At 40.5% G+C, this 14,486-nt stretch overlaps 1 long non-coding RNA gene across 2 annotated transcripts; it reads left to right on the top strand.

Moving 5' to 3' along the window:
* The first annotated feature begins 1,385 nt into the window (after positions 1-1,385).
* Positions 1,386-11,043, top strand: LOC105370196 (uncharacterized). Of its 2 annotated transcripts, XR_941949.3 has the most exons (5): positions 1,386-1,879; positions 4,796-4,974; positions 6,961-7,123; positions 7,243-9,036; positions 9,983-11,043. It is a non-coding gene; the product is annotated as an uncharacterized LOC105370196 (long non-coding RNA). The 2 variants fall into 2 exon arrangements; XR_007063787.1 differs by lacking the exon at positions 4,796-4,974.
* Positions 11,044-14,486: the final 3,443 nt, after the last annotated feature.

The raw sequence follows: 14,486 nt of genomic DNA, 5'->3' as shown, positions 1-14,486 counted from the left end.
AGGAACCTTGTCTCCTTACAACGAAGACTGAATGAATGTGGGAAAACCTCAATCAAATCCAGGGCAGTCTCACTATCCAAGGAACCAGGTTGAACTTTAAAAGGGCCAGGGTACCCCAATCCTGTCTAAAATATGGGTTTGGTTTCCAAGTAAGAAGAACCAGTAGCTGGTTACAACTCTCAAGGGAATTGACAAGTACTAGGCAAAGTATATGAGGTTGCCTGGCTCACTGGTTGGAACTGAGGACCACTGCTTGAGTCCCCTCTCTTTGGAGTGGTGGTAGGTGGTTGGGGGAAGGGGGGATTAAGATGGTAGCAGGTTCTGGTCAAGGTAGGAACACCCTGTGGAATTGGAACAATGCAGAAAAGCCATAACCTTATGCTGGTATTGCACTTAGAACGCTCTGCTTCTAGATATTCAGATTTGAGGTAAGAGATAGCTAAGAATTTTTCAATTTGATGCTGGACTGGACTTTACTGCTTCATAGTTAAGCAATCAGATGACTGATCTTAGTCTATTTTCAGTAGCCAGAGTTGGGTGACGCTTCTTGAGGACAGGCTCTGTGCCTTATTCACCCTCCTATGTGTTTCAGCACCTCTCACTAGGCATTGGGTATAGTCAACATGTCAAGGCAACATTTGAATATGTATTTGATTGTTTTGATATTGAGCTTTTCTCTATCAACCTTATCTATTTTTTTTTCTCATTTCTATAGACTTTGTGGTTAGAAAGACCTGGATTTCGATTCAAGTTGTGTTAGTTAATAGCTGCAAGACTTCAGGCAAGTTACCTTCTCTGAGCCTCCTTACTCACCTCTGAATTGTGGATGACACAGCTATATCTTAGCATTATTGTGAAGATGCAGTAAAGTAGAAAGTATAACATACCTAAGGGTGCTAACAAGGAGGTGCTGAATCTTTTGCTGAATCTCCTTACTGTCCCGGACCATTGCGAGACCCTCCCTTAGTGGTTAGTGTGCCTCTTCATGCATCACTCTAAACTATTGTTTTTATCATAAGATGTATTATCTTTATTTCCTAGTAAAAAAAAAAAACAAGTTAATTTATGCATGGATATAGGTCTGGAGTTCAGCATAGCCAGGATTCAAATCCCATTCTTTCTGACTCATATGCCCACAGACTCTTTTTTTCTCTTATTTCTCTCTCTGTTGCAATTAGCAAGATTCTAGCATTAACTGTATTTTATTTTACTGTGGCACTTTGAAAATTGGATCAAGTTTTTGCAGTTTTGTATTCTCGCAGAATCACTTATGATAAACACAAAGCAGACAAAACAAAATGCTAAATTGCTGTGGTTATGTTTTGCTGACTCAATATTCCATTCCTCAACTTGCAGAAATTGGTTTCCTTTGTGCATACGTCTGCACTTTCACATATACCCACGTGTGGTCAGCTGAAAAATGACTCCTCGAAAGATATTCATATCAAACTCCTGGCAGCTATGAATGTGACTTTATTTGGAAAAAGGGTCTTTGCAGGTGTAATTAAATGAAGGATGTTGAGATAAGGTGATTATTTGGGATTGCTCAGGTTGGCCCTAATTCGAATGATGAATGTCTTTATGAGAGAACGGCAGAGGGAGATTTGAGACAGATAGGAGTGAAAACACAGAGAGGAGGAGGAGGCAACGTGACCATGGAATAAGACATTGGAGTGAAGTAGCCACAAGCCAAGGAATGCCTAAAGCCACCAAAAGCTGGAAGACGCAGGAAAGGAGCCTCCTGGAGAGATTTCTGAGGGAGCACAGCCCCACCGATGCCATGATTTCAGCCTTCTGGTTCCCAGAATTGTGAAAGAGTAAATTTCTGTTGTTTCAAGTGGCCAAGTTGGTGGTAATTTGCTACTGAAACCCCAGGAAGGTAATATACCATGTTTTTATCTGTATATGATAAATATAATTATAAGAAATTATATCTCTTGAGGACCTACCCTCTTCTGTGATTTCTATCTCGACATTGCTCCAAGCTTTGAAGCAACTATCAGCTTTGTTTCTTATCTTAACTAAGATATAAATCTTAATGCAGCAGCTGCCTCAGCTGGTAGTGTAGCTGCAGCGTCTCCGCTAACCCATCTTGAATAGAGCAAGGTCAGATGACTTCGAGTGGAGTTTGGAGAGTTTGGAAAACTGGGTCTTGAAGACCCAAGGTCAGCTTTTTTGCCTGTAATCATTTGCTTAGAGGAAGGCAGAAAGGTGAGGTCAGAATTTCCATTAAATATGGAAAATATTAATTAGGGAAATGGGCAAAGAAGATTGCCTCATTACCTGGCAAATTAATTTTAGCTCACCAGCAACATGGTACCACTAGATTTGAAGATCCTGCCAATGAGTAGTTTAATACATTCTTTGCAAGGAGGTGACAACTGCCACAGTGAAGAGTATGCATCATTTTAAAATGAAAGTAAATTCCTGTAGAGTACTATTGAGGTAAAAATCAGAGTGATCTCTTAACGTCTAGAAATGAATAAAATGACCAAGGGTTATGTGTAAGTGATTTGTAGTGAATAATTGCAGACTTAAGATGGAAAATGAAATAGATTAAATCTTAAAGACTTGAGACAAGGATTCTGTTTCTGAAGCGAATGCGGTGCAGTATCTGTATCTTACTAGTGAGGAGAGAAAGAAGAATGGCATTCTGATGAAAGAAACCTGTCCACAGCGATGAGTTCTCTAAGGGCCTATTTTCATTGTCAGAAAATCCAAGAGAAAAATTATGTTGCAAGGGCACAGAATTAATCTTTCTCTGAACAGCAACAATAACAAAAATGCCATTAAAATATATAGATTTACACCTGGAAGTCAATCTGTTCAAAAGGATGCAGTTCCTCTTTGAGTGTCAGGTGAGTAGGGACTCACACATGAATTAAAAAATCTTCCTGGTTACAAGAGCTGTGGAAGTTGGGTTTGATTTCAGGTCAGAGTTGTTGGTCACTCAGAGGTGGCCTAGCTCTGTGCTGCAGGAAGGGCAAATTAATTCTGGTGAGCAAAAAATAGAAGTGGAGATGTTCCTGTTCTTCCCCATTTTGTCACAATTTTATAACTTCTCTATTTTAACTGTAATATCCATCATAAATTCTATTTTTTCATGGCTGATACTGGGTCAGAGACATCACACAACTGTCCCTATGGCTCAGGTCCCTTCCTCTCTCTCTCTTTCTTTCTTTCTTTTTCTTTTCTTTCTTTGTTTCTTTTTTTTTTTTAAATAAGTCCCTATCATTATCATAGTGCTTGAATGAAAGGTAAAAAAAGAATATAGAGGGCAACAGTCCTTTCCCCCCAACTGTTAATGCCTACATGTAGTTTTCTAGGGAAATAGATAAAAAAGAATGTGTAATTTTTGGAAATCAGCTATTCAGTGGCAAATATAAGGCATGATTCTTCTTTTCATGTAAATATAAGAATTTTAAAAAAGTACCAAGAAAGAAAACTAAAATAAGGAAAGCAGTGAGTGTTCTCTCTTGGAGATTCCTATCACTATCACATCTGGGTTATCTGAGACTCCTGGACAAGGTTTTATTCATGTTGGGTGTATATTATCATTGTTGTGTAACAAACTAGCTTAAGACTATCATCTTCAAATAGCAGACATTTATTATATCTGAGTTTCTCTAGATCAGAAACCAAGAAGCGGCTTGGCTGGTAGTTCTGTCTCAGAGTCTGACCTGGGGTTGTTGTGAAGTTGTTGGCTAGGGCCGTAGTCACCTCAAGGCTCGACCGTGGGAGGATCTGTTTCCAACCTCATTCACGCAGTTGCTGGCTCTTGGCAGAATGGGCAGTTAGCAGTGGCTGTAGCCAGGTTGGCCTTGGTGAGTGGAAGTCCATGTTGCTGAGCCCATGCATAACCTCCATTCTTGCCTCCATGGCCTCTTTGTGAACCAAGTGGGCAATGACAGGAATGGCAGGGAAGGAGGCTGACTAACCTCCACAGACTGGCCCTCCAACCCACCTGATTATTATAATCCTTCCCTGAGGTCACTTTTTAATGAGCATTCATGAGGGACACAAATATCTTTACACTCTACTCATTTGAACATATCTCTCTACATACTTCTTTCCTAGACTTCCTAGCCACCAGTTTTCTAGTTGTGTTTCTTTCAAGTCTCTGACCATCCCGCCAAACAATTTATTAGCCACAGCTCATAAATTGGTATAGACGTGTATCTTTGGGCATCTCTCTTTCCTGAAAAGTGAACAATCTGGTGCATTGCTTGAAGTTCAGCCCACTGGAAGAACCTCCCTTCACCTTCTGGGTTTTTCCAGATTGGGACTGTAATATTGCAACTCTCCACTTTGGTTGGTAACTGCATATTGCGCAGAACTATGTGTAATCCAAGCCTTAGATTTTTTTCTTCAATCAAATGATCATAGAGAACTCCCTAAGAGGCCATAGATATTGTGTGTGTGTGTGTGTGTGTGTGTGTGTGTGTGTGTGTGTGTGTGTGTGAGAGAGAGAGAGAGAATATAATGTATCATGATTGAGGCCATGGGCATCTGGATCATTTCTTGTCAGACTTGTGTCTAAAGACCTGCTTAAGCCTGACCTCATAGTGCTGCTGTGCATGCCCATCTCTATAACTGGGTGAGTTAGAACACACCCAGTTCATGATGCGCAGTTCAGGTTTAATGTTAACTTGATATCCTATGGACAAGTATTCAGTCTCTACCAATGCCCAGCAGCAAACCAAATGTTGTTTCTCAAGATCAGTGTAATTATCTTCAGAGGTTGGAATAACTTTGTTCCAAAATCCTAACGATCTTCACTAAAATTCATGTATAGGGGCCTGCCAAAGGCTTCAAACAGCATCTTTATGGGCCACTGCCACTTCAAGCACCACCAGATCTGCTGAGTTGTACAGGCCATGTAGCAGAGTACCTTGCATGGCAGCCTGGGCCTGTTGCAGAGCCCTCGCTTATTTTGAGCACCACTCAAAACTGGCAGCTCCTATGGATCACTTGGTAAGTGGGTTGAGGTATACATTGCCCCTCAAATCAAAAGAGGGCTAATAGGTGTTATACTTCTTTCTTATTGGCAGGGAGGACCAAGTGCAGCAACTGTCTTTCTCTTGGAAAGCCTATCTCAACATTCCCCAGACAAGTGGGCCTCTAGAAATTTCACTGAGGTGGCAGGCCCTGGAATTGTTGTGGAATTTATTTTCTATTCTTTGGTCTATTAGTATCTTATCAGTATAGTTAGAGTAGTTGCTATTCCCTGATCACCAGGACCAATCAACATCACATCATCAATGTAACGGACATCCTGTGGAGGGGAAAGGCAGTCAAGGTCCCTGCAAACTTGATCATGACGTAGGTCTGGAGAGTTGATATACCACTGAAGTAGGTCACTAAAGGTATTTGGCCTGTCTTCCTAGCTGGAAGCAAACTGCCTCTGATGGTCTTTACTAATAGATCTAGAAAAAAAAATAATTTCCCAAATAAATTCCTGCATAACAAGTACCAATGGATGTGTTTCCAAATGAAACCACATTTGGAAGAACAGCTGCAATTGGAGTCCCCACCTAATTACACTTGTCATAGTTCACTGTCATTCTCCAAGACCTGCCTTCTTCAGAAGCCAAACAGTCAAGCTGAATAGGAATGTGTTAGGAGTTGGGAATAAGCACCCCTGCATCTTTTAAGTCCTTGATCATGGCATTAATCTTTGCAATTTCTACAAGAATGGTATGACTTTTGGTTTACTATTTTCCTAAGTAAAGGCAGTTCTAGTGGCTTCCACTGGACTTTCCTACAGTACTAAGCCTTATTCCATGGTCAGGGAACCAATGCGGATATTCTTCCAGTTTGTAAGCATATCTATTCCAATTACGCCTTCTTGAAATGGTGTAAAAACCATACATTGTGTTTAGACTCACTGGGCCTACTATAACAGACCTGAGCCAAACTCCATTGATCTCCATTCACCTGACCTCCACAAGCTTCTTTTGCTGTGATGTGATAGAGAAGTGACACTTAGGTCTCCAGGAATTAGTGACAGTTTAGAGTCAGTATCTGGTAAACCCCTAGAAAGCCTGATTATTTCCCCTTCCTCAATGTGCAATTACTCCAGTAAATGGCTTCAGGTACATTTTGGGACAACTGAGAAGATTAATAGTATACAGGCACTTTTTTGGAAGCATAGCAGGATTTCTTCTTAGAAGGATCTGGCCTCCTCTTTATTTAAGGAGATCTGGGCCTATCAACTGGCTGAAGCTGGGGATTGAGTGAGGGACTGTGACTCTGTTTTGGTGATTCAAGTTAGACTTCTGTTCACTATCTCTAGAGCTTTCCTCCTATACAGATCAAGTAAGATTTTAGTCGGCTGACCTTATATTTCAGTTCTAGGGTTACCATGATCAACTAGCCAATAATGAAGATCTCAGACTATATGAATACTGCTTTGGCTTTGCTGTGCATTATGGTGACCAGGCACAACTTGCTCGTGGATTGCAGAATCAGCTCTTGCCTGAGAGTTTTCAGCCTACCCTTCTCGACAATTTGCCTTGCAGATTTTGCTTTGCCTAGCCAACCCCGACAGTCATTAATTCCTTGCAATAAATCTCTTAATGCATATTTCCCATTGGTTCTTTTTCTCTTGTGGAGCTCTGACTGATACAGAAGCCATGCTTCCTCCCACTATTTTCAAGCTTTTATTCTCATGTCATTCCCTCATATTTCATTATTTGTCTCCTCATTGTTCAGTAGCAGCCATGGTATATCAAACAAGATCATCTTTAGTGGCATAAAACTGATTAATGTCTTATTTCAAAGAGAGATTGATTATTCTCATATAACTATTAGTCTAAAGGTGGCAGTCCAGGCTCATTCCTCAAGGGAAACCTCAAGGATCAAGTTTCCTTTTAACCTCCCACTACCATCCCTAGGACATGCTTTTCCCACTCTTGATTTTAAGAAAATAGCAAAGTTCTTCTAACCTTTTCTCTACAGCTTTGTGCCTGGATACTAGCAGGAAGGAAGAGGAGGAGCAAGAATGGAAGGCTTGTACCAACAAGTTCTTATCCTTTTTAATGAGGAAAACAAGAGCATCCCTATTCTGCTCTTATCTCACCGAGTTCCATGGCCATTCTGAGCTGCAGTGGAGTCTTGGGAGGTGAGTGTTTTTTACTGGGCATATTTTCTTCCCAAATAAAAATGGGGTTGTCTACGGAAGGAAGAGAGGCATAATGGATATTGGAAGTTCCTACTGCTTGTGATTTTTTTCTTTTCCAGAATTTGTATGTGTTGAAGTTGGTGGATAGACATGAGAAGCAGATTGAGGGATCTGTGGAAAGGGAGAGGAAGAGGAGGAGGGGGCTGTCAGAGGAGTAATGGATGCTAGAGGAATGGATTCCCTCCAGTTTTAGTAAATATAGGTAATTTTCACTGCATGTAAACTCTCATTCTCTTCTTAAGAGAGAAGGCTTGGGAGATAAAGATTCCTTAAACTTCAAGCCACTTCTGCTGCCTTTTCTCTCTGAAAGGAGAACCTCTTTTTCCCCATTATTGCTTGCTGGGTCTTATGAGGGTTTGCTTTGGCCCACGATACCTGTTTGGTGATCTTGTGTCTTCTCTGTCAACAACCAAAGTGACTTCTTTGGGTTTGGATTTCCATTTTTCCATTCCTTGGAGACATTGTTTGTAAATTTGCTGTCAAAGTAAGAGAATGACTCTCAGCTTATGATTTTAGGCTGAGTGGTTAGGAAGGACAGAATTTATAACATCAATGAAAGAGTTCCTTTCAGGCAGGTGGAACTTGGGCAGATACCAAGTCACACCATACAGAAGTCTCCTACTTGGCCTAAACACAGGTATGGCTGTGGAAGTTCTCCTTAAACTCATTGTAGTGGCACTGATTACCCAGGTCCCATCTGAATGCTTCCTGAATCCCTGTGGAATAAACTTGGAACAGGGTGGCCTACCCTGCAGAAACCTTCTATCCTATGGTCATGACAATATTTAATTAACAAGACATCAGCTGTACTGAATATTAGTTAAGTGGCAGGCCTTTCTGCCAACAAGTTATTAGTATGCCATCTTCTGACACTGTACCAGAATAGAACATTGATTATTTGGGGGCGGGGCTGTGGTAGTTAACTCATTTGTGATGTGCAACTCTGTACTATATCCTCTAGTATATCTTATAAATCATACATATATAAATTGACAAACTGACAGGATGAAGCTACGTAAGCTACTGCACCATACAATTTCTGCATCTAGACTAATAATAAATATAGTGAGATAAACCTAGTGTCACAGTTCATAAACTTTTGAGAAAATATGTTAATTTCTCTTTTGCTCCAAGATAAGTATTGCCAGTCTAAATGGAAAACTATTCAAATTATCAGGGTTTCTCCTTAGATTAGTAGGCTTTAATAATTTAAGTCATATCTTTGATTTCTAAGCTGTCTCCATGGTAACATAGTTGGAAGTCTTCGTGGCAACTAAGTGGGTGAGAACATGTCCCAAGGCCACTTTGACTTGTGGAAAACTGCCAATAGCTGTTTATTCTTATCAGATACAGAGCATCTCATTAGAGCTGTATTATCCCCAAAAATTTTGTACTGAAGAAGATTTAGACACTTACATTTCAGGATGGGGGACTCCACTGCTCTCTGCCTGACATGTCACCACCTACCCCCATGTCCTACCCCTCCAGCCCATGTTCTCTATTGTGGTGTGGCCAATGTCCAAATTCCCTGATTCTGTTGGAAATTCAAATTTCTCAGAGGCAGAATGGCTTGTGGTTGCTAATATGGTCGTCGTTTGTGACATTTATGTGCCCTCTATGATCCATACTCTGTGATGACTTTGTGATTTTCTGCCTTCGCCAAGCCAGGCATATACTTTGTCAGCTGATCTATCACCACATTTGAATAAAGTTCTCTTAATGTTCGTGACCCACTTCTGCATAATAACAACGTAAAGTGAAGGAAGAGGAAGGAAGGCTTAGAGCACTCAATTCTTCATTGCCTGCCATCCCATTCTCTGGCAGCTCATTAGACAAAGCTGCCACATCCCAAGGTGAGATGTCAGGCTACTTTGGAAACTACATTTACTAAAAACTTCATTTGTAACAGACACCTAGGAGAACATAAGAGAGTTTCACAGAACAATTAGCTGACGATATTTTTTTTTTCTGAATCTATTATTTATCCTTTTCTTGCAACTGTCAGAACATATTTGTTTGGGCAGTCATTTCAAAATGCTGGCAGGAGTTTGTAGAAATCCATTTTTTAGTTTATCTTCTATGGTGGTCTCATGGAGCAGTTGCCTTGTTCATGCCCTAGAGAGATACAGCCCACAGGAATTCAGAAAGTTAAGGCTGAGTAGTTAGGAATTCAGGGAGCATTCAGATGGGGCCTGGATAGTCAGTGCCACTAGAATGAGTTTAAGGAGAAATTCTACAGCCAAAACACCTTTGTTTGGGCAAAGTAGGAGACTTCTGTATGGTGTGACCCGGTATCTTCCTATGTCCTACCTGCCTAAAAGTAACTCTTTCATTGATGTTGTAAATTCTGCCTTTCATAACTACTCACTTACCTAAGTCAGGGACTTCAGGTAAGCTGACTAGGGAAAGTGTGGGATAAGAAATCCTCTTATAAATAGATTGTAATACTTCAACATCTCATTTACTGTTTCTATCCTCTCTTTCTTTTCTTTCTTCCCACAAAAAATTCTTTTAAAAAATGGTAATTTCTCAGATTTTTAATCTCCTCAGATCAACCACAGTCCTGCATTCTGTGGTTTAATTGGCCATGGGAGAGACCACTAGCTGTCCGAAACAAATTTGCGCTCCTCTTTACACAGTGGGCAGCTGCCCAGTGAGACTACACTTCCCAGAAGCCTTTGCATCAAGGCAGGGTCACATGACTAGTTTTCACCAACAGAATGTGAGTGGAATAATATACTCCTCTTCTGGGCTAGGGTTTTAAGAAATGTTTGTGTGTTCTCTACTCTTTCTTCTCAGGACATTTGGCTGGATTCAAAGAACTTTGAAGCCCAAGGGGATGGAGGAACCACGGGATGGAAGGTGCCTGAATCCTGAATGACTGTGTGGACAGTTTATAAACATTTGGGCAGTGCCATCTCTATCACATAAATTTATTTTGTCTTCTTTTATTTCTTCTTACCTTCCCATGATTTTCCTGGGTGAATGGCTAATTAGAAGAGTAAGATGAGGTAGAGGGTGGAATAGAGAGATTGTAAATTCTGCTTTGGGGATATTAATCTGAGTTGTGTGTGAGATGTTCAAGTGAAGATGTCAAGCAAAAATTTAGATATTTGCACCCCAGTGTGGTGGCTCACACCTGTAATACCAGTACTTTGAGAGGCTGAGGCGGGTGGATCACTAGAGGTCAGGAGTTGGACACCATCCTGACAAACATGTTGAAACCCTGTCTCCACTAAAAATACAAAAATTAGCCGGGCGTGGTTATGGGTGCCTGTAATCCCAGCTACTTGGGAGGCTGAGGCAGGAGAATCGCTTGAACCTAGGAGGCAGAGGTTGCAGTGAGCCAAGATCATGCCATTGCACTCCAGCCTGGGCAATAAGAGCAAAACTTGTCTCAAAAAAAATTTAGATATTTGCCTATGGATTTCAGAGGAGAAATGCGGCAAGAGCAAAAGTTTCAGAGTCAATAACCTAATACTTGCATTTAGCTCCAAAAGAATTGTTGAAATTATATAGGGAAAGAGGGTAGAGAATAAAGAAGTGCCTGAAGTTGAGACTTAAGATTCCTCAACATTTAGAGTTTGAGTAGGAATGGAGTTCAAGAAAGAGCAGAAGGAAAAGTAGAAGGGATATCAGGAGAGCATGAGGTCAGAGAAGCCAAGAGAGAAATATTGTGCAAGATGGAAGATGTGGCCACCATTATGAGTTCTACTGACTGGTAAAGTAACCGTGGGAGCCATCAGTGGCCTTGACAAGAGACATTTCCTGGGATGATGGTTGGAACCTAGACTAGAGCAGATTGAGGAGACAACCAGTAGTAAGGCTACAGAGAAAAGGGAACACTTACACACTGTTGGTGGGAATGTAAATTGGTTCATCCACTGTGGAAAACAGTTTGGAGATTTCTCAAAGAACTTAAAACAGAACTACCATTTGACTCAGCAATCCCATTACTGGGTATATATCCAAAGAAAATAAATCATCCTAACAAAAAGACGCATTTTCTCATATGTTCATCACAATACTATTCACAATACCAAAGACATAGAATCAACCTAATACTCATCAACAGTGGATTGGAAAAAGAAAATGTAGTAATATATACCATGAAGTACCACAGAGCCATAAAAAAGAATGAAATCATGTCCTTTGCAGCAACATGGATAGAGCTGGAGGCCATTATCCTAAGTGAATTATGCAGGAGCAGAACACCAACTATCACATATTCTCATTTATAAGGGGGAGCTAAACATTAGGTTCTCATAGACATAAAGATGGCAATAATAGACACTGAAGACTACTGGAGGGAGGGGGTGAAAGGGGGAAGAGTTGAAAAACTAACTGTTGGGTACTATACTCTGTACTGGGCGATGGGATCATCTGTATCCTAAACTTCAACATCATGCAATATAACCTAATAACAAATCTGCACTCCCTGAACCTAAAATAAAAGTTGAGATAATAAAAAAAGTTGTTCATCATCATTAGCTATTAGAAAAATTCAAATTAAAATTACAGTGCAGGCTGGGCACGGTGGCTCATACCTATAATCCCAGCACTTTGGGAGGCCGAGGCGGGTGGATCACGAGGTCAGGAGATGGAGACCATCCTGGCTAACACAGTGAAACCCTGTCTCCACTAAAAATACAAAAAATTAGCTGGGCGTGGTGGCGGGTGCCTGTAGTCCCAGCTACTCAGGAGGCTGAGGCAGAAGAATGGTGTGAACCCAGGAGGCGGAGGTTGCAGTGAGCTGAGATCGCGCCACTGCACTCCAGCCTGGGTGAGAGAGTGAGACTCCGTCTCAAAAAAAAAAAAAAAAAAATAAATTACGATGCAGTATCACTACACATCTATGTGAATGGCTAAAATAAAAATTAGTGACAAGACATAATGCTAGCAGGTTACAGGGAAACTGAATTACTCTTACATTGTTGGTATGCATGGGTGGGAATGTAAAATGGTACAGTCACTCTGAAAAAGTTAAGCAATTTCTTATAAAACAAAATATGTATAGTACACCTCAGAAATTTCACTCTTAGGCATTTATTACAGAGAAATGAAAACTTACATGCACACAGAAAACTTATACACAAATATGCATGAATATGCATAGCAGCTTTATTTGTAATAGCCAAAAAGTAGAAAAAACCCAGATATTATTTTTACAGGTGAGTGGTTAACAAACTATAATACACCCATACTGTGTAATATTACTGAGCAATAGAAGGGAATGAACTATTGATACTAGCTACAATTATATAAATCTTCAGAATTTATGCTGAGTGAAAAAAATCAATCCCCAAAGATTACATACTGTATAATTTCAAATACACACACACACACACACACACACACACACACATATATACATGCATATATGTATTTTTTAAATGATAAAATTTTACAAAAGGAGCACATTAATGGTTTCCAGGGCTTAGGGAAAGAAAGTTGGGTGGGGAGGAGATGAGAAGGAGAAAGGGGTCAGGAAAGAATGAGAGAGGGGGGGCGTGTTTATTAAATGGCAACCAACTGGAGGGATCCTAGTGATGATGGAATGGCTCTGTATCTTGACAGTGGTGAAGGATACATGACCCTATACATGTGATAAAATTAAGTACAACTAAATAGACGTGCGTGCACACACATGCACAGGACAAAAAGCTGCTCAAATCTAAATAAGATCCATTGATTATATGAATATCAATATCCAAGTCATGATATTGTATCATAATTTTGCAAGATGTTACCATTGGGTAAAGGGTACATGACATTGCTAAGTTTTATTTCTTACAATTGCCTGTGAATCTACAAATTTCTCAATTAAAAATTTGATTTATAAAAAGAAAAAAAGAAATTACATAAAAAGAGGGGCAGGGAAATCAGGTAGAGTGGGAGGGGATGTGAAGTGTGGGGTCAAGAGGAAGATTTTCTAAAGATAAAAAGTGCTCGAGCCTCTTCTAATACTATTGGAAATAATCCAGTGGGGACAGAGAGAGAAATGATGAGGAAAGAGAGGGAGGGAGGGAGGAGAGAGAGAGAGAGAGAGAGAGAAAGAGAGAGAGAAAGAGATATTAAAGAAGAGAAGTCCTTGAGAAAGAGATGAGTGATGAAGAGAGGAACCCCAGTGGGGGAACTGAGCTTTGAGAGCAGGAGGGACATGTCTTCCACTCTAATAGGAGAGAAGGAGAGGTATCAGTTAGGCAAGGATGCAGGCAGATTTGGTGGTGGGAAGATGAAGGATTTTATTTCTATTTTCTGAATGAAATATGAGGTGGAGACCTCAGATGGAATAGAGGGGAAGGAGATGGTGAGAAAAGTCTAAAAGAGTAGGTATGAAGGTTGTAGTAGACAAGGATATCCAGTCCTAAACCCTGGAATCTGTAAATGTTACCTTACATGGCAAATATTTTGCAGATGGGATTAAGGATCTTGCCTTGGGAAGACTGTCCTGGATTACCTGAGTAGGCCCTAAATGGGATCACATAAAAGGAAGGCAGAGGGAGATTTGACACAGACACTGTGTTAGGCCATTCTTGTATTGCTATAAAGAAATACCTGAGAGGGGGGAGGGATAGCATTAGGAGATATACCTAATGCTAAATGACGAGTTAATGGGTGCAGCACACCAGCATGGCACATGTATACATATGTAACTAACCTGCACATTGTGCACATGTACCCTAAAACTTAAAGTATAATAAAAATAAAAATAAAATAAAATAAACAAACAAACAAACAAAAAGAAATACCTGAGAGGAGTAATTTATAATGAAAAGAGACTTAATTGGATCACAGTTCTGCAGGCTGGACAGGAAGCATGATGCTGGCATCTGCTCAGCTTCTAGGGAGGCCTCAGGAAGCTTTCAATCACGGTGAAAGGTGAAGGGGGATTAGATACACCACATGACAAATGCAGGAGCAAGTGAGAGAGAGTTAGGTTGTAGGAGCCACACGCTTTTTTTTAAAAAAAATTATACTTTAAGTTCTGGGGTACATGTGCAGAACGTGCAGGTTTGTTACATAGGTATACACGTGCCATGGTGGTTTGCTACACCCATCAAACTGTCATCTACATTAGATATTTTCCGAATGCTATCCCTCCCCTTGCCCCCCACCCCCTGACAGGCCCTGGTGTGGGAGGTTCCCCTCTCTGTGTCCATGTGTTCTCATTATTCAACTCCCACTTATGAGTGAGAATATGTGGTGTTTGGTTTTCTGTTCCTATGTTAGTTTGCTGAGGATGATGGTTTCCAGCTTCATCCATGTCCCTGAAAAGGACATGAACTCATCCTTTTTTATG

The sequence above is a fragment of the Homo sapiens genome, chromosome 13, assembly GCF_000001405.40.
Source record: "Homo sapiens chromosome 13, GRCh38.p14 Primary Assembly".
NCBI classification, from domain to species: Eukaryota; Metazoa; Chordata; class Mammalia; order Primates; family Hominidae; genus Homo; species Homo sapiens.
This window is presented reverse-complemented; position numbering and strand designations above follow the sequence as displayed.